Source organism: Homo sapiens, chromosome 13 (genome assembly GCF_000001405.40).
Source record: "Homo sapiens chromosome 13, GRCh38.p14 Primary Assembly".
NCBI lineage: Eukaryota > Metazoa > Chordata > Mammalia > Primates > Hominidae > Homo > Homo sapiens.
This window is the reverse complement of record NC_000013.11, coordinates 68,408,107-68,429,324: the sequence shown is the minus strand read 5'-3', so window position 1 is coordinate 68,429,324 and position 21,218 is coordinate 68,408,107.

Below are 21,218 nucleotides of genomic sequence, written 5' to 3'. Positions count from 1 at the left end.
GTTTGCAGTTCAGAGGTTCAAACCTACCAAATAAGACATTGTTTTAATCAAACATTACAAATGCTGAGGCCTGCATGGCACCAAGTTTGGCTAATAGTAGCCTTGAAGCCCAAAGACCATCATGCCAGCTTTCCTGTCACCAACCAAACTGAAGACTGAGTCAAAAGGTCAATAGTAACTGCCTAACGGAGGGTCTGCCTACGGGCTAATGCTGTAGCTCCAGCCTCAGCCATGGGTATGGCAGACATGCCCTCATTCAATTAACCAATTCCACCAAAACAGGCCCTAAGATTTAAAATCTATTTGAATCTATTTGTGGTAGAACCCTTTTCATCATCCAACGGGACAAAACCTTGGACTATTAGGAGCCTTTATATTCAACCATCATTAATTGGAACTTTAACTGTAGTAGTTGGGCCCTGTTGTTTTGGTCCAATTATGGCAGGATCACAGCTGCTGGCATCACATCTGCTAGCTGTGTGATCAAAAAGCCTCTTGATTTAAAAGATATCCCCAAGTCAAGCTGCAAGTCCCATTTTCTTCAAATTCTACAAGTGTCTCAGTGTCATTACATCCTGCAGCCACAAAAACATAACCACATAAACACAAATTGATATCCAGTTAGGAAGGATTCTCCAGTCCCACATCATCCTAGCCCAAGAGATTGCTGTAGAGAAAGCATTGTCTCGGAAGATGTCACCTCAGCCCAAATCCAAGAAATCGCTAAGAGATTACTTTGCCCCTACCTCTTATCAAACTACTGGCAATCCCAACTATACCAGAACTAGACAAATCTCACCACGAAATTCCAGACATTGTTGTTTCTCCAGTGACTGATCACATTGCGAAATCTTTTTTGAAAAGGCAGGACCCACCAGACTGGAGTGATTTTTCAGACACTGGAATCTGTTTGCCCTGCAGCTCAACCTTGCTTTGCAATAGCTATAAAACTGTAAAGTTTACCCCCTCTGATTGTAATTCTAACTTGTACCTTTGTTAAGCCTCCATGGGACCAAGTCCAATGCCTCTGTAATGTCTCCAAGGCTAATGTTCTGCTCATATCACTCATCTTTTTTTGTCTAAAGGGAGAACTTACCAAAATATTCATATTGCGTCCTCTCCTAGGTAAAACAAAATAAATCTGTTGGCCTCTCAATGCTCTATTTGTTCATCTATATCATCTCCCCCTTCTTCTTCCTCATTAATAAACATCCACAGAGGCACTGCAGTCTCTCCCATTATCATAGTGCTCATATCTCTAACCCTCCAGAATACTATATGGTAAACACAGTCTAAATCCATCATCTTAGTCCCTGGGCTACTTACGTAGACATCCAACATACACATACATTTAAATGATCTAGCCTTTCACGTATTGAAGCTCCATAATTATTAATTTTTTTCATCAACTTGCTTCCACGTATATCACACCACACATTTATCCAGCTGTGTGATGGATAAATATAGGAAGATAAAAACCTCTTCCCATCCAGGCGCGGTGGCTCACGCCTGTAATGCCAGCACTTTGGGAGGCCGAGGTGGGCGGATCACAAGGTCAGGAGATTGTAGCCATCCTGGCCAACACGGTGAAAGCCCGTCTCTACTAAAAATGCAAAAAGAAATTAGCCGGGCATGGTGGCGGGCACCTGTAGTCCCAGCTACTCGGGATGCTGAGGCAGGAGAATGGCGTGAACCCAGGAGGCAGAGCTTGCAGTGAGCCGAGATCGCACCACTGCACTCCAGCCTGGGTGACAGAGCGAGACTCCGTCTCAAAAAAAAAACAAAAAAAAAAAACAAAAAAAACAAAAAAACAAAACAAAACAAAACAAAACAAAAAAATCCTCTTCCCAACTGAACCTCCCTTGCATCTGGGGAACTGCTTCATGATAAATGTCAACTACTTTCATGTTTTCTAAATACATGGCACATATGTACCTAATGGAAAACTCCACACTGTTATCACATGCCCCCCAAAAAGCACTGCCTTTCTCCAGTCCTCCTTAGTAATTCTAAATTATATAAGGCAAGGTGCAATTTCCCAATCTAAAGACAATGTTATAGGGTTATAGGGTTATAGTTCAGCCCAACAAAAAAACACAATGTTCATCCTCTCTACTGTGGGTGTGTTCTAAAGTATTTATCCTTCCTCTACCCCAAAGCCACAAATCGCATCCATGCATTCGAATCTTTCTTGGCCTTCCTGTTTATACAAATTTTAATTATTCTTCCCTCACCCTAACCAAGCATCAACAATGTGCTACATTCATACCTATAATATTTGAAGTTGCCACCACTTTGGGACTTGATGGAATGGATGCAGGAACCATCACTCTTACTAAATAATAAAAAATAATTAACACTAACCTAAAACATCCAAAACTCTAGTTTTTCAAGTATGCTAAATACTAGACTTACTTAAACAAGGCTAGGAAAAAATGACAAAAATAGGTTTTAGTAATAAATCATCACTTAATTATTTATTAGCTAATCAAAGGGGTGTTTATAATATTAATATTTATATGTGGATTAACAACATTAGTGAAGCAGCCACTCTAACAGAATGTATGAGCCATGAAATCATCATAATACCATAACCCACAATTTTAACATATTTTGTAACTCAACAAAAATATTACTGGAGGCCCTTGTCATGACTAATTTATTCTTTTACTTAACTCCAAACAAATGAAATCCTGGTTAATAGCTGACCTTCAGGGAATCTCCATGCTTTTACTTGGTTTATTTATCCTTAATGTCATAGAAACAGTTTTCTATGTTGTTTAGAGCAACAGATGTCCTGCTTTCTGGAAGTCTTCTCTACTATTTGGACCAATCAGATATCCAAAATTATCCAGCTCAAAATTGATATCAAGACATCAAGATGTCAATTGTAGTATAATAATTGATGAGTGTTGCCTTGACCTGGGTTTGAAGTTATCGCTAAAATCCTCAGAGCTCCCTTCTTGGGCAGTTTGCTGAGTCCCCACTCCGAACACATCCCACTCTCTGAGACCACTAGGCACAGACCACAATTATCCTTATTCTCCAAGATCCAACACTCTGGGATCAGGACCTAAGCAAGCAGGGACAGCTGCTGTGCCCAATAGTTCATAGAATTGTTCAAATTAGACAAAGCCTGGTGAACTTTAGCTTCCCCTTCCTTATTTGTCATATATAAGTTGCCCCTACGACACAAGATAATTGTTACACTGTGTCCATTTACAAATCCTTGTACAATCCTGTATGTCAGCCTTCTCTATTTTGGAGCTGTAAATAACCAAGACTTCTGCCTTTCATCTATCTGTCATTGTGTTGTGCTCCACAATCAAATAAATGTTTAAATCTTACTGAACACACAAGAGATACAGGGGTGGTAGCTCTTATAAAGTACTTGTACTACAAATAAAACAGTGTTGGTTATTAGGAGGTGAACATAAATTATTTAAATCCTAGTGCAAACACTAAAAAAAAAAATTCAAAAGGAAAAAATAATATGTCAAAGAGGAGACAATGTAGAATCAAATAAAGTGCTCAATTAAAGTCAGAGTATCAAGAAAAAGAAGCAGGAAAAGAAATAACAGATGCTATGAATAAAAAAGAGTTACAATGATGACATATTTTGCTCCAATTATACCTATAATTCCTTAAATATGAATGGTATAAATACAACAGTTTAAAGACAGAAATTGTCAAACTGTATGTAAAAAATAAATAAATAAAAAGACCCGATGGCTCAACTGTGTGCTGTTTATAAGTAACACACTTTAAATATAAAGATACAAGTTAAAAAAAATGAGATGAAACAATATATGCCATACTAACTCTATTGAAAAGAAAACTAGGATAGCAATATCAATTTCAAAAAAGTGACTTCTGAATAGGAAAGACTATAAGAGATAAAGAGGTACATAACATAATAATAAAGGGGTCAGTTCTCCAAGAAGACATAACAATCTTAAACATGTGCAGACTAACAATGGAGCATCAAAATACATAAGGCAAAAACTGATATAACTGAATAAAAACAAATACACAAATCTATTACTGTCAGATAATTTAACACAGTTTGCTCAATCCCTGATAGATGAAGCAGACAAAAAATCAGTAAGGATGTAGATTACATGAATAGTATTATCAATAAATTTGACATAAACCAACATATAGACCAACACAAATAGAACAGAAAGCCCAGAAATAAAACTTCACAAATGTTGTCAAATGATTTTCCACAAGTTTACCAAGACCAATCAGTGAGAAAGGACAGTCTTCCAACAAGGGTGGAAACATCCTTGAAGACTAGATACCTGGAGTCATGGGTGTCATTTTGCTTTGTTTGACTTTAAAAGAAAAAAACTTACCAACCATCTAAGAATCTCCAGGGTATATAGTGCCTTAAGATAAACTCACGATTGATTGTTCCAACCTTTGAGTTATTCTTTTTTAAACTGAAAATGTTGAAGATTGTAGGTAAATGAATAAATAAGTAAGCTAACAAGCAGGCCTGTGTTCTTGGAATAGAGCCACATTTTCTTCCCCACTTGCAGGGCCTGCATCCCTTTTCTCAAATTCAAAATAGTGGCGGAGTTTCCTGTCTCATGCCCATCCTAACTGATCTTATACAGTCTATTGCTATGATCTGTCTGGCATAATCAACACATTTTGAAGAGTCTCTGGAACAAATCAGATGCTCATTAACTGTTTTTACTCAATGAATGGATCTGTGATAAAGACTGCCTTTTTACTGAATCTTGCTATATTTTTCAAGTACCATATTCTACTTGTTGAAATTCATTTTGTTGCAGAATCTACAACAGTCACTGTCTCCTGGTTTATGCCTTGCTTACTATGAATAGTTCAATATTTGCATCATTTTCCAACTCTAATTTTACCCACTGCAAAGAAAATAAACCAGATTAAGTTTGCACAATGCATCTTTTAAAAGTACTACTTTGTGTCACACAGAATCCATTGATTTTCAATACTGAAGATCTATTCCCCTACTGAGCTGGCATGTTGGCATAACTTTTAAGACACCAACTAATGTGGGCTTTGTTAATGGAAACAAAACAAAATGAAACAAAATTAGTCTGTCATTGAACTTCCCTGATTGCATTGATTTGTAAAGTCAAGCTTGTAGAAGATAATTCAGCGGTATGAGGCTTGCTAAGATTAGTAAAAAAATTTTGTAACCTATACATATATATAACACAATGCCTGATTTAAAAAATGAGAGATTTTACAGCTTTTATTATGTATGTATGTATGTATTTTGATATAGGGTGTCTATCACCCACTCTGGAGAGCAGCAGTACAATCATGGCTCACTGCAGCCTTAAACTCCTAGCCTCAAGTGATCCTCTCACCTCAGCCTCCCAAAGTGTTGGAATTGTAGGCATAAGCCACCATATACCCAGCCTATCTTTTATATGACAAATATAGAGTGAAATACAATAATCATTAATACATTTTAACTGCAAAGAAGAAAACACTGAAAAGAATAAACATAAATGTCAGTGAGTAATAGTCAAATCTATTTTTTAATTGGTCATTTAAAGGCAGAATTTTTTCTAAAGGCATCATCCAAAAAAACAACAAAAAGCCGTATCTCCCCCATTGCTCGTAAGTTTCTCTCTGCTTCTGACCATTGTCTCAGAAAATGCCTTAAAAAGTAGGTTCAAGATCTGTCTTGTCCCAAGTAGAGTATGTAAATGGGTTGATAAATTCAACTATGTAATAAATTAATGCTTAATTAAGATTTTTGAATAAATGACTGAAGTGACAGCGTCTGAGGCTGGCAGAAATGTCCAGAATCTATCAGAATCTATCAGGTTCTATCGACAGGTTTTCAGGATAGTTACTACTATTCTGTATTTAGGATTATAAACCTCATTTGGAAGTAGGGAAACTGAGGCAAAGAAATGTTAAATAACACTAAAATAAAATACCCTGCCTCAGGACTAGATAAATAAGAGAAGTTAGAAAAAAATTTATAATCCCAGTTTGTTCATTCAATAATTTATTAAAATACTTATGCTATGCTAAACCTACTCCTTTATACTTTATTGTTCATCATTATTGTACATATAGTTAAATTTCCAATCCCTGGAAACATAAAACTCCCAAGATTGATCCAGGAATTAACAGAAATTCTGAACATACCAATAATGAGCAATGAAATTTACTCAGTAATTTAAATAAAAGCACTTACCAACTTAAAAAAGCTGTGGGCCAGATAGATTCACAGCTGAATTCTATCAGTTGTACAAAGAAGAACACTACCAATCATATTAAAATGATTCCAAAAAATTGAGGAGGAGAATTCCTCCCTAACTCATTCTATGAAACCATTATAAACCTGATACCAAAATCTGGCAAAAACAAAAAAACAACAACAAAAGAAAACTACAGGCCAATATCTCTGATGACCATAGATACAAAAATCCTCAACAAAGTATGAGCAAACCCAAATCCAGTAGAACATCAAAAAGTTAATTGACCACTATCAAGTGAGCTCTGTTCCTCGAATGCAAGGATGGTTCATCATAACAAATTAATAAATGTGATTCACCACATAAAGAGAAATATATACAAAAAACATATGATTATCTCAATAGACACAGAAAAAGCACTTGATGAAACTCAACATCCCTTTATGACAAGAGTCCTCAAACACTAGACATCAAAGGAACATACCTCAAAATAATAAAAGCCATCTATGACAAACCCACAGCCAACATCATACTGAATAGGCAAAAACACTACCCCTAAGAACTGAAACAAGACAAGGATGTCCACTCTGATCACTCCTATTCAATACAGCACTGGAAGTCCTAGACAGAGCAATTGGGCAAGAAAAAGAAATAAAAAGCATCCAAATATGAAGAGAGGAAGTCAGATTATCTCTCTTTGCTTATGATACAATTTTATACCCAGAAAATCCTAAAGATTCCACTAAAAGACTACTAAAACTCATAAACAACTACAGCAAAGGCTCAGGATACAAAATCAATGTACAAAAATAAGCAGCATTTCTAAACATCAGTAATGTTGAAGCTGAAGGCCATACCAAGAACTCAATCGTATTTACAGTGGACACAAAAAAATACCTAGGAGGTGAAAGATCTCTACAAAGAAAACTAAAAAACATTTCTGAGAGAAATCATAGATGACACAAATAGAAAAACATCCCATGATCATGGGATGAAGGAATCGATATAATTTAAATGTCCACATTACTCAAAGCAATCTACACTATTACTATCAAATTACCAATGTCATTTTTCACAGAATTGGAAAAAAAAAACTAATCTAAAATTCATATGAAACCCAAAAGAAAAAAACAAAACAAAACCACAAATACCCAAAGCAATCCTAAGCAAAAAGAATAAACTCAGAGGCATTTTATTATCTGACTTCAAACTGTACTACAAGGCTACACTAACAAAAGCAGCAGCATATTGGTTAAAAAAAAATAGAGCCATGAAACAGAATAAAGTCCCCTGAGTAAAGTCACATACACCTACAACCAACTGATCTTCAACAAAGTTGGCAAAAATAAACAATGGAGAAAGGAATCCCTTCAATAAATCCTCCTTTGAAAACTGGCTAACAAAAAGCAGAAGAATGAACTTGGACCCCTACCTCCCACTATATACAAAAATTAACTCGATTGATTAAATAATTAAATATAAGAAAAATTATGAAAATTCTAGAAGAAAACCTAGGAAATGCTCTTTTAGACACTGGCCTAGGTGAAGAAATTTTTTATGAAGACCCCAAAAGCAAGTGCAACAAAATCAAAAATAGGCAAATGGGACTTAATTAAATTAAAGAGTTTCTGTACAGCAAAATAAATTATCAACAGAGTAAATAGACAAACTACAGATTGGGAAAAATATTGCAAACTATGCATCCTATAAAGGTCTAATATCCAGAATCTATAAGAAACTTAAACCCCATTAAAAAGTGGGCAAAAAAAAACTGATATTTCTCAGAAGACAGACAAGCGGTCAAAAAACATGTTACAAAATGCTCCACCATCTCTAATTATCAGAGACACAGATCAAAACCACAATGAGATACCATGTCACACCAGTCAGAATGGCTAGTACTAAAAAGTCAAAAAGTCATCGATGTTGGCTAGTTGCAAGGAAAAGGAAATACGTACACACTGCTGGTGGGAATGCAAATTAGTTCATAGCCTGTGGAAAACAGTTTATATGCTTCTCAAATAACTAAAAATAGAACTAACAATCAACCCAGTAAAGCCATTACTGAGTATATACCCAAAGGAAAATAAATTGTTCTATCAAAAAGACCTATGCACCTGTATGTTCCTTGCAGCACCATTCACAATAGCAAAGGTATGGAATCAACCTAGGTGCCCATGAATGGTGGACTGTATAAAGAAATGTGGTACATATACACCATGGAGTACTATGCAGCTATAGAAAAGAATGAAATCCAGTTCTTTGCAGTAATGTGGATGGAGCTGGAGGCCATTATTCTAAGTGAATTAACATAGAAATAGAAAACCAAATATTGCATGTTCCCACTCATAAGCAGGAACTAAATATTGGATTCACACAGACATAAAGACAGGAACAATAGGCACTGGGAACCCCAAAAGGAAGGAGGAAGGGAAAGGAGCAAGAGCTGAAAAACTCCCTATTGGGTACTGTGTTTACTATTTGGGTGATAGGAGCAATAGAAATCTAAACCTTAGCATTATGTAACATACTCTTGTAACAAACCTGCACATGTTTGTGCAGAATATAAAATAAAAACTATAATAAATACAGTTACATTTAAAAATAGAATTGAGGCCGGGCGCAGTGGCTCATGCCTCTAATCCCAGCACTTTGGGAGGCCGAGGACGGTGGATCACTTGAGGTCAAGATTTCGAGACAAGCCTGGCCAACATGGCGAAACCCAGTCTCTGCTGAAAATACAAAAAAAAAAAAAAAAATGCAAAGAGTAGTGGACATGCCTGTAATCCCAGCTACTCAGGAGGCTGAGGCAGCAGAATCACTTGAACCCAGGAGGCAAAGGTTGCAGTGAGCCGAGATCCCGCTACTGCACTCCAGCCTGTGTGAAGCAGCGAGACTCCATCTCAAAAAAAAAAAAAAAAAAAAAATACACACACACACACACACATATATATACATATATATATATATATATATATATATATATATATATATATATATATATATTTCGACTGGTCTTAAAAAAGCATAGGGATGTTTTCTATTTTTAAAATAAATTTTATGTGGAATTTTGATTTTCAGAGCTGCAGTTGCTTAGAAGAATATAGTTTAAAAAGTGTCCACATGTTCAGAGCATACATGCCATATACTAGCACCTAATGAACTTATTTACAGCTTCTCTTTTAAGATAAAAAATACAGAATAACATCAAATTTTACAAGATTAACACAGACCAATTCAATTATATTAATATCTCAAGTTAAATGTTGACTGTATTTACGCCAGATATGAGTTTCTCCTTAAAGACTAATCCTGGTGCACTTTGTCTGTACTAATGAATTTTAATTTGATGGTGTGTGTTTTAAGATAATGTTGCACTGATGGAAATATTCTGTTCAAACAGGTCTCTGGTCAAAGTAGATAAATGAATCATAGTCACAAGTTACATTCTTGAATATACAGTGTCTACTTACATATTAAATCAATATTTTCAAATATTTATGAGAAGGAACAGGAGAATTTTCCTGTATTTATATTTTATCTTAGACTTGAAACATGCTCTACTAATTTTTATCATTTCATTTGCTTGTCTAGATTGCATTTATTCCTCTTAGACACAGATACCAGTCGCTACTTCAGTACAAGATGTAATATAGTCTAAGAGTTGTACAAATTTATTTAAAAGGACACAAAAATTGAAGTAATTTAAAACCCTGTATTATCCTGCAAGACTTATAATGTACCTCTGTTCTGTGTCACCTATAAAAGGCCATGGTAATGAATCAAGGAATCAAAAGTCTAGCTCTTTAAATTTAAAATTTGCCAGATATAATTTTTTTGTCTTGTGGAAAGTGTAAGTTTAATCCTGCTAAAAAGAAAGTTATAAAATTAGAAATTGCTAGAGTAGCCAACTGCCAATACACTATTACCATATGTAAGTATCTCACTGAGCTTCAGAGGTCCTTGCCCCTGCAATTTATAATCTGGCTATGCACGCCTTCTTGCAATCTTACGTAGTAATAGTCTCAAAGAGAGATCTTAATCAGCTATTCACGATGATTCTGGATATCTGAGAGTCCCAGGCAAAAATTCTTTGTCCAGAAAAAAAGCAATGGTTCAATAGATCACATTGAACAGACAAGTTGAAAATATGCATACTTTCTCATCCAGCTACTTCTCATGTTTATTCCTAACAGAACATGGCATGTTTACATCAGTAGATATGCACAATAATCCAAAACAGTATTACCTATTAACGTCTAAAACTGTATACAACCCAAATGTGTATTGTATAAGAAAGCAAATTGTGATACATTTATACACTAAACATAAATGAAGTACACATGCGACTGCATATATGAATATTGCAAACATTTTGTAAAGTTAAACAAATTTAGACACCAAATAATACACCTTTTGCTTCCACATATAATATCCAAAAGATACAAAGCTAAACCATAGTTTGTCAAAAGATATGAACAGCTGGTAAGCTATACTTTTAAGGTTTGTGCATGTTTCTACATGTGTGCTATATTTTGTAAAAATATTTTTTAAAGATTTTTTTTAAAGACTGAGGTACAAAAAGGTGCTGACAAGCTCTATTATATGCATGAGTTGTGTTCACTTATGGCCGTATCTTGTTGAAGGTTGCAATACTGCCAGGGTATCCTGTATCAGCTAATAATATAAATCTCAAGATAAAATGTGTTAAATGATAAGGAAACAAGTATATCATATAATCAGGAATCCAGAGAACAGGTAAGTTTCATGGCTGATTTACTTGGTGGCTCATTATTTTTGCCGGTCATTCAAGTTCATTTGGTTTCTGTACCCTCTCATCCGGTGTGAGGTGACAAATCCCGTAGCAAGCTGGGCCTATTTTGGCCTTTCTGTGCATTCATTTTTAGAATTGATTATTTCATTATTTGAAGATGTACTTATCCCCACAAAAGGCATATAAAGTAAAACTTTGTAATCCAAAACTTTAACATCCAGTTGTTGCTTCTAACTCCACATCAAGGTAACCCCACATCAAGGATTTACGATATGCAGTACAATGACTCTCATCCAACAGAGCATTTATCTACTTGCAACAGACAACCTGGCAATTAAAATGTCTCATTTGTTTAAAAAAGCATAAAAATCCCGGAATTATCCAGTGAAGTTTGTTTTAGTGTAGGTGCATGCAATAAACATCTGCTACAAAAGCTCACGTGATTTCCTGAGGGACAGACATGACAAGGAACACTTGGCCTGGCAATGAATAATTTTTCTTTGGTCAGCTAATTTATTTGGTACTCTGGTTGAAAATCTAAGAAGTGTTATTATGTTCAATTTTTCCATCTGATTTGGGACTGAGAGGACTCTCTTTTTGGATACTACACTTCACTATATATTTTCTGATAATGAGATAGTTCAGAACTATTTGGATTGCTTTAGCCATTCAAAGGTCAAAAGGATATCGTTGGGCAACATTTGGATTTTTTTCAGCAATACAACTCCCTTAAAATAAAGAATTCCCTAACACAGAGTGTAAACACTAAGAAGGATATGGAGGGTTACTATAGTAGGGGGCTAGCCTGGAGTGGGATAAGTAAAGGATCCACACCAAAGTACAGCCTAGCATAGGGTGTTAGAGCTCAGGCAGTTAGGAGAGTTTACACGTAAGAGGCTGGTCTGTGCAGAGTGTCAGAACATACTCAGGTGAAGAAGGTGTTTAAAGGGGGGCAGCAGTTTAGCATAGGTTGTCAATTCAAGAGGAGTGAAGAATATATCTATATAGAAAAGGAGACACCAGGCGCGGTGGCTCATGCCTGTAATCCCAGCACTGACGTCAGGAGTTAGAGACCAGCCTGACCAATACGATGAAGCCCCGTCTCTACTAAAAAAAATACAAAAAATAGCCAGGCATGGCATCATGCACCTGTAGCCCCAGCTACTCGGGAGGCTGATACAAGAGAATTGCTTGTTGAACCCGGGAAGTGGAGGTTGCAGTGGGCCAAGATCATGCCACTGCACTCCAGCCTGGGTGACAGAGTGAGACTCTGTTAAAAAAAAAAAAAAAAAGGAGCTAAAACAAATAAAAAAAATGGTTTCACATAGGGAATATGATGGTCTGAATTGTGCTGTCCCCAGTTCCTATGTTAAAGTCATAAACCCTAGCACCTTAGAATGTGATAGTATACAGACATAGGGTCTTTATATAGATGGGAGTTAATATAAAGTAATCAGGAAGGTCCCTAGTCCAATATGACTGATATTCTCATGAGAAAAGGAAATTTGGACACAGACATGCAAGAGGGAAGACAATGTGAAGGCACAGGGAAAAGGTAGCCATGTACAAGTGAAGGAGAGAGGCCAGGAACAGATCCTTCCCCCATCGCCCTCAGAAGAAACAAACCCTCATGACACCTTGAATCTCAGACTTCTAGCTTTCAGAACTGTGCAAAAATAAGTTGCTGTTGGTCAAACCATCCGATTTATGGTATTTGATTATAGCATGCTTAGGAACTAACACAGGAGTAGCAGTTAAGCAAGAAAATATATTAAGGCTTATGGGAGCCAAGTCACATAAGTCTCACAGTCATATAAGGAAGTTATAGATATGGGAAGATGGGAGAAAATTTTTGTAACCTACTCATCTGACAAAGGGCTAATATCCAGAATCTACAATGAACTCAAACAAATTTACAAGAAAAAAACAAACAACCCCATCAAAAAGTGGGCGAAGGACATGAACAGACACTTCTCAAAAGAAGACATTTATGCAGCCAAAAAACACATGAAAAAATGCTCACCATCACTGGCCATCAGAGAAATGCAAATCAAAACCACAATGAGATACCATCTCACACCAGTTAGAATGGCGATCATTAAAAGGTCAGGAAACAACAGGTGCTGGAGAGGATGTGGAGAAATAGGAACACTTTTACACTGTTGGTGGGACTGTAAACTAGTTCAACCATTGTGGAAGTCAGTGTGGCGATTCCTCAGGGATCTAGAACTAGAAATACCATTTGACCCAGCCATCCCATTACTGGGTATATACCCAAAGGACTGTAAATCATGCTGCTATAAAGACACATGCACACGTATGTTTATTGCGGCATTATTCACAATAGCAAAGACTTGGAACCAACCCAAATGTCCAACAATGATAGACTGGATTAAGAAAATGTGGCACATATACAACATGGAATACTATGCAGCCATAAAAAATGATGAGTTCATGTCCTTTGTAGTGACATGGATGAAATTGGAAACCATCATTCTCAGTAACCTATCGCAAGAACAAAAAACCAAACACCGCATATTCTCACTCATAGGTGGGAATCGAACAATGAGATCACATGGACACAGGAAGGGGAACATCATACTCTGGGGACTGTTGTGGGGTGGGGGGAGGGGGGAGGGATAGCACTGGGAGATATACCTAATGCTAGATGGCGAGTTAGTGGGTGCAGCACACCAGCATGGCACATGTATACGTATGTAACTAACCTGCACAATGTGCACATGTACCCTAAAACTTAAAGTATAATAATAAAAAAAATAAAAATAAAAAAAAACTGCAACCTGATAGTTTGTATTCAAATTAGAAATGATAGTATGAACTCGCATACTTCTGTGTGTATCTTCTGTCCAGTATTCTGCCCAGGCCTGCAAACAGTAGCATCACACATACTATCTACAACTCAGTTATTGAATACAAACTTCCTCTAAAAAACAAACTAAAAAAACAAACTAGGGTTCTTTAGAGTAATGCCTGATGTGAGTTCATTGTCGGAAGAACATAATTAATTTGAAATACTGGTTGTATACCAGAAAGTGAAGAATTACTTTAAGAATGATGGGGAGGGCTGGGTGCAGTGGCTCATGTCTGTAATCCCAGCACTTTGGGAGGCCGAGGTGGGAGGATCACCTGTGGTCAGGAGTTCGAGACCAGCCTGGCTGACATGGTGAAACTCCATCTCTACTAAAAATATAAAAATTAGCCAGGAGTGGTGGTGCATGACTGTAATCCCAGCTACTCAGGAGGCTGAGGCAGGAGAATCGCTTGAACTCAGGAGGCGGAGGTTACAGTGAGCCCAGATTGCGTCACTACACTCCAGCCTGGGTGATAGAGTGAGACTTCGTCTCAAAAAAGAACAAAAAAAAATGATGGGGACATGCCAGAAAGATATGGTCAGCTTGGAGATATTCTCACAAGCCAAACGTGGTACAATCTGAGCATCGCCATAGAGAATGATAGGGCTATTGCCAATATAACAATCAGAAAGCTACAAGTCAGGAAGAATATATATAAGTAGATTGAAAATTGGATAATGAAAGGTATATTTACAAAGTTTCGAAAGTTCATTTCCACAAAATGTTTTAAAATACAATGGAAACTGAGTAACTCTATAATCAAGAAGGCTGGCAGGCATTATCTTAAACAAGCAATTGTTCATATTGCTTGTTTGGACGAATCGGAAACATGTAACACCTTAGAGAATGAAATAAGAATAAAGCAGTCTTTCTGCTGTGATATTCCTGCAAATTATGTTATTATCTGGACCTAAAGAAACATTGTGCAAACCTTTGTTGAAGGACATTTATAAATAATTGTCCTATAATCTTCAAATATGTGAAGGTTATGACAGGCAACCAAAGACTTAAGTGAGTTAACAGATGTAAAGCTTAATTTCCTGTGCCTGTTCTGGTACATATTTTCCAAATAAATGATGGGTATTAGTAATGTATGTTGTCTTAAAGGATATGAAATTTACATAATAAATTATTTTGTATGCTGTATTATTACAACATATCTAGATTTCTCTTCAAAATTATATTTTGCCTTTTCTGAACAATCAGAAAGCAGCTCTAAAGTCATATACTTCCTTTTGGCTTTTCAATAATCGAATACAGTATATGGTTTGTCACTTTCATGAAAATGCATTTTTGTCACGAAAATATATTTATGAAGCTCCCTAACTTACTTATAAATACTTTAAAATTTAATTTAATTTTGGTGAGAACACAACATAAAATCTGCCCCTTTAATAAAATTTTAAATCTACAAAATAATATTGTTAACTATAGGTAAATATTTTCAATATCTGATTCAATTTAAGAAGTGGAATTGTTTGGGCTGTGTTCTAATTACACTTTTGAAAAAAGCTCGAAAAAACTTTCAAATTTGATGAAAACTGTAAAGTAACTGATATAATATGCTCAACCCCACTCAAAACACATATTTAAAAAAACTACCTCCAGTTACAGTATAATTATATTTCCCAAATCCATAAAAATTGAAAAACAAAACAAAAAAGTGTTATCTGATAAATTAACACAAGATATAATAAAAATATTTAATGCAAACAATTTGAAAAACCAAATAACAACAACCATCAAATTAAATATAAATGATCGAAATATCCCAATTACAAGGCCGAGATTTTCAGATTGAAGAAAGTAAAGACCCATTCTACGTTATCTAAAAGTAATCCACTTTAAATGTACAAAACAAATGTTTTTAAAAGAAAGGCTTGAAAAAGATATAAAATGCTTACATCAATACAAATAAACCTGGTATTACTATATGTGCATCAGACATAAGAGATTCAATAGCAAACACTATTACAAAGAATTAAAATGTAATTTTATAAGAATACAGTTGTCATTTCTTCAAGCTGACATATGTGCCAAAAAACTGACAGAACTGCAAAGTCAAATAGATAAATACATCATTATAATAAATGTAAATACCTTGTCTTCACAATTTATAGAACAATTATACAGAAACTGCATATGAATATAAAACATGACTATCCACCAACTTGACCAAATTATCACTTATATAAGATCCCACTCAAGAATAGTGGAGACATATTCTTTTCAGTCATGCACAGGATGCTTACCAACATATCACAATACGGGTCATACAACAAGCTTTGATAAATATGTAAAAATTAAAATCATATAAAGATGGTCTCTGACAACTACAAAATTAAATTAAAAGTAGTAACAGAAGTACACATGCTAAATTATTTAGAAACTAACTAAAAGAAATTCAAGTAATTCATGGGTCAAATATTAAGTCAAAAGGTGTTAAGAAATTATTTTGAGTAATATTTGAATGAAGATAAAGTACTACATGACATAATTTGTGGGATGCAGCTAAAGCAGTTCTTATTGGGATATTAATAGCACTAAATACTAATGTTAGACATAAGAAAGTTCTTCAAACAATGACTTCATATTGTACCTTAAGAAATTCAAAAAAGAGCAAATTAAATCCAAAATTAAGTAAGAGATGTGAAATATCAGAAACCAAATAAATACAAAACAGAAAATCAAAATAATAATCAATAATACTAAACTTTGGTTATTTGATAAGATTGATAAAATTCAGAAAAGTCCAGTCAGAATGATTAGAAAAAAAAAGAGACAGAAATTTATAATACCAGGAATGAAAAAGAAATGTAGATGCAGATGTAGACCTACACATATATGTTCAATTGGTTTTGACAAAGATTCCAAGACGATTGGTGTTAAAACAACCGAAGAACCATATGAAAAAAAATTATTAACCTTTCTCTTACTTCTCACTTTATATAATAAATGACTAGATATTTATCATACATCCATATATAATAGTGACACTAAAAATTTTAGAAGATAATAGGAAAATCTTAAAGATCTTATTTGACAAATATTTCTTAGTTATAACACCAAAAGCTCAATCCATTAAAGAAAAACAGCGATAAATCAAATTTCATCAGAATGAAGGATTCCTGCTCTTTTAAAAGAACTGTTCAGGAAAGAATCAACCCAAAAAGTGGGGAAAAATTAAGATCTTGCACTCATAAAGAACTTCCAAAACTCAATAATAAGAAACAGTCCTTTTGCTTAGATAGGCACAATATTTGAATTGACAATTCAAGAAAGAAGCTAGACAAATGAAATAATCATATGACAAGAAGCTCCATATCATTATATATTTGGAAAGTATACATTAAAAACACAATGAAATGCCACTACATTCCTGGTAGAAGGATTAAATTTGAAAAGACTGACCATAGCAAGTAACAGCATCAATGTGAATCAAAACTACTGGTGGAAATGTAAAATAGTAAAATTACTTTTGAAAATAGCTCGTTTCTTAAAAAGTTAAATATATACAATATGACTTAGCCACTATAATACTAGGTCTTTACCCAATAGAAGTGAAAGCATTTGTCTAAAGACTTGTGAGTTATTGTTTATAGCTGCATTATTTGTGATAGCCAATGGCTAGAATCAATACAATTGTCTAGCAACAAGAGAATAGAGGAACAAATTGTTATAAACCATTCAATGGAATACAACTCAGCAAGGAAAATGAATTAATATAGACACAGCAACAAATAGGTGAATCTCTAAGTAATTATTCTGGGTGAAAGAAGCCACCAACTAGACGATTCTATTCAAACACATCTCTAGAAAATGAAAATTATCTATTGCAACAGAAATCAGATCAATGGTTGCTTGTGGACTTGGGCTAGGTGATAGGGAGGGATGAGAGAGAAAGAGATTACAAAACAACACAAGAAAACCATTAGGGGTGATAGGATTTTTGTATGTTTTCTTGATTGTGATTATGATTTCACTAGTGTGTACATATGTCAACATTTATCAGATTGTACACTTGAGATATGAGGCATACATTGTTAATTTTACCTTCATGAAGCAGTAAATTTTTCAAGGGTTTAATGAGATAGAATCAGCCGGGTGTGACGGCTAGCACCTGTAATCATAGCACCTTGGGAGGCCAAGGTGGGTGGATCACCTAAGGTCAGGGGTTAGAGACCAGCCTGGCCAACATGCTGAAACCCCGTCTCTACTAAAAACACAAAAATCAGCCAGGTGTGCGCCAGCACACCTATAATCCCAGCTACTCGGGAGGCTGAGGCAGGAGAATCACTTGAACACAGGAGGCAGAGGTTGCAGTGAGGTGAGACTGCATTACTGCCCTCCAGCCTGGGCGACAGAGTGAAACTCCATCTCAAAAAGAAAAAAAGAGAATCATTATATGCACTCTCCTTTGCATTCTTTCTGAGTATTTGAATAAATTATAGTAACCAAAAGACTCAAGTCTTCCATGTGCATCATACTCACCTATTAACAGTTTAATAAATCCTTCTGTTAAAAAAGATTTAAAAAATCTTTAATTTGAAAATGGTCAGGCAACCCCCATGCCTGCTATTATGGAATGTGCAAGGGTACATAGACATATACCTATGTATTGAGAAATACTGTTTCTATTTATCCGATGAAATAGAATGCAGTTCATCCTTGAAATTCATAACTTTATGCCTTTCAATAATTATTTCAATATCCCAAGATTATTTAATTGGTAAATTACTGACTGTATCAATATACAACAAGATGCAAATCAGGATGATGATACAGTGTGCCATTAATGAAAACTGACAATCCTATACATACATTTACATGTATATATAAGCATATGTGAGAATGCATGCTACATTGATAGACAGGTAGATATACTAGACCACTCCTATAAGATGAGCAAAGCAAATAAGCTAAAGATTCAGAAAGGGATAAATATAAAGAGTTATGTGTGTGAAATGGCAATGCTCAAAGGAGCTCTAATGTTTCAGATAAGATTACCCAATTCAATTATAATAAGTGTGCTTAGAATGCATCTTACCTAGGATGAGATTGATGCTTGCCCCTAGGAAACCCACAAATCCGATGTCCTCATAATTTTATCATGTCTTCTCTAGACATTTTATAAGCAATTGCTTGAACAAAAATAATGAGAACTCTCTATGGCTTTTAACATCAGTATACTGGCCTTTACCTTGTATATCTGCTATAACTGAAATGCAGCAGTCTGTGACATACTTAGGCTATATATCCAGTGTAACTTAATGAGGTCACATTAACCTCAATGTGCATGTTGTAACAGGTTAAGCCCCCATTCTACCTGACTGCACAAAGTTCTGTCTTTTAGCAATTTATCCTACCCAAGTGTCATAGACCTCTCCTGTGGATGCTTTTTTTCAGCCCACTAATCTTCCTGGCTCTTATTTAACTAACAAGCTAGTTCTCTGGATCTGTAATATTCTATCTAGGTTTAACTGGTGGCTCTTCTGGTACAAATAAAGATAACCATTACATGGTTAATCAGAAAACCTGAAGTCAAAGAAAATATTTGATATTACACCACAGGCAGTACAATAAAGTCAAGAACTCCTGTAGAGTGAATGAATTTCTTATTGTCATATGCATAGTAGAAAGCAGCTTGGTATCCTTCAAAAAAACGACGTTCAGGTTATAGAACTTTTAACAGCGCTGTGTACAACTTAGTGAGGACAGAGAGTATCAGCATACTAGGACTAAGAGAGAATTAGAAAAGTCATTCCCTGGTTCAGAGACAAAAGAAATTTTTATAGGTCATTTTTAAAAAGATTAAACTATCTTATTCTTCAGAATTGTGTGTATGTGTTTGTGTCTGTGTGTGCACCATTGCACATGTGCACGTCCAAACACATTAGGGACATAATTGAAAGTGTTTTATAGGTACAATCAAAGAAAACAGACCTACAGTTGAGACACCAAGAGCTCTGCTGTTGGGTTTTAAAAAATAATAGTAGACAAAATCAGTAGGCAAAACCCAATTTTTACACAAACTAGAATAATCTGAAATAGAAAAATATTGCATAATATAATACCATGTATTAGATCTAAACAAGACCTGTCTTACACCAGATTATGTGATTATACTAATTCTTGTTTGCACTTGTTCACACTCTGTTCACATGTGTTAATTTCCTACCTATCACTGCCATGCCTGTCTGCAAGAAGACTATATTTCCCCACCCCACTGATTCTGAGCTAGCCACATAATTTGCTTCAGCTAATGGCCTCCAAATTGATGTAATGTATTACATGTCTACACTATAATTTAAAATGTCATTGCATGGTTTGACTCAGCACCACCACCTAGATCCATTCTTAAGTGCTGGTCCTCTGCTATGATAATAACATGAGAAGACATGTGGAGCTCAGTCAGGCCCAACCAAATGTGGACCTGACCTTGATTGGGAGAAGTTCCCAATCAAATCCAGTAGAGCCAAGCCCAATTCATGCTATCAATCCTCAAGGAATAAACGACCACTGTTTTTAGTCACGAATATTTTGTGTGTGTGTGTGTGTGTGTGTGTGTGTAATTGCTGTAGCAGCAACTAATTACTATGCCTTAAAAGAGATGTTGGAAGTAAATCTGAGTACTCTGCTTTTTAAAAATTTAAGTTTTTATAAATGTAGTTATTCTACTTGCTGTTTATAAATATCATCAACACATCACTACATAAGTTATTTCAACATTCTGGTTAACAACATATTTTATGTTGTTTTTTTTTCGGTTTGTTTTGTTTGGTTTGTCAAGGTAGTGCCAAAGTAAAAAGTTAAGAAATCCCTCCAAGCATTGTTAAGGAAGGAAATATAAATCCACAGAACTCAAGTAACCATTTGCAGTCAAGATTCTGATGCCATAGGTAAGCAAGCCAAGTTGGAAATCTCCTTTACTATAGAATGGACTCACTCTTAATAAGAGCTGATTAGCTGTTTTGAAATATCCTATACTACAAACCATTAAACATTCAATCTCAATTTATAACGTACCTTTACTGCTCCTTTCCCTAAATCATTATTGCCTTTTCTTTTAAAATATGGTAAAGAGTGGTTAGTGACTCTCTTCTCAATAGAGGTGATATTTAAATCAAGAGAAAACAGAATAAAGCAGAAAAAGGGTTAGTCCTTTGAGGTTCACTAGAGGGAATGAAAATAATTTCTAATATAGCCTGTTTGTACAGCAGTTACTGGAAAACCTCCTAAAGCATTCATATATTACAGTTAATGTAATGTTATTTGATTGAAAAATTGGAAAAAATATTTTTCTAATATATATATATATTTCAAGTGTTAATTTAAAGCTTAAGTTGCATTATTTGTCTATGA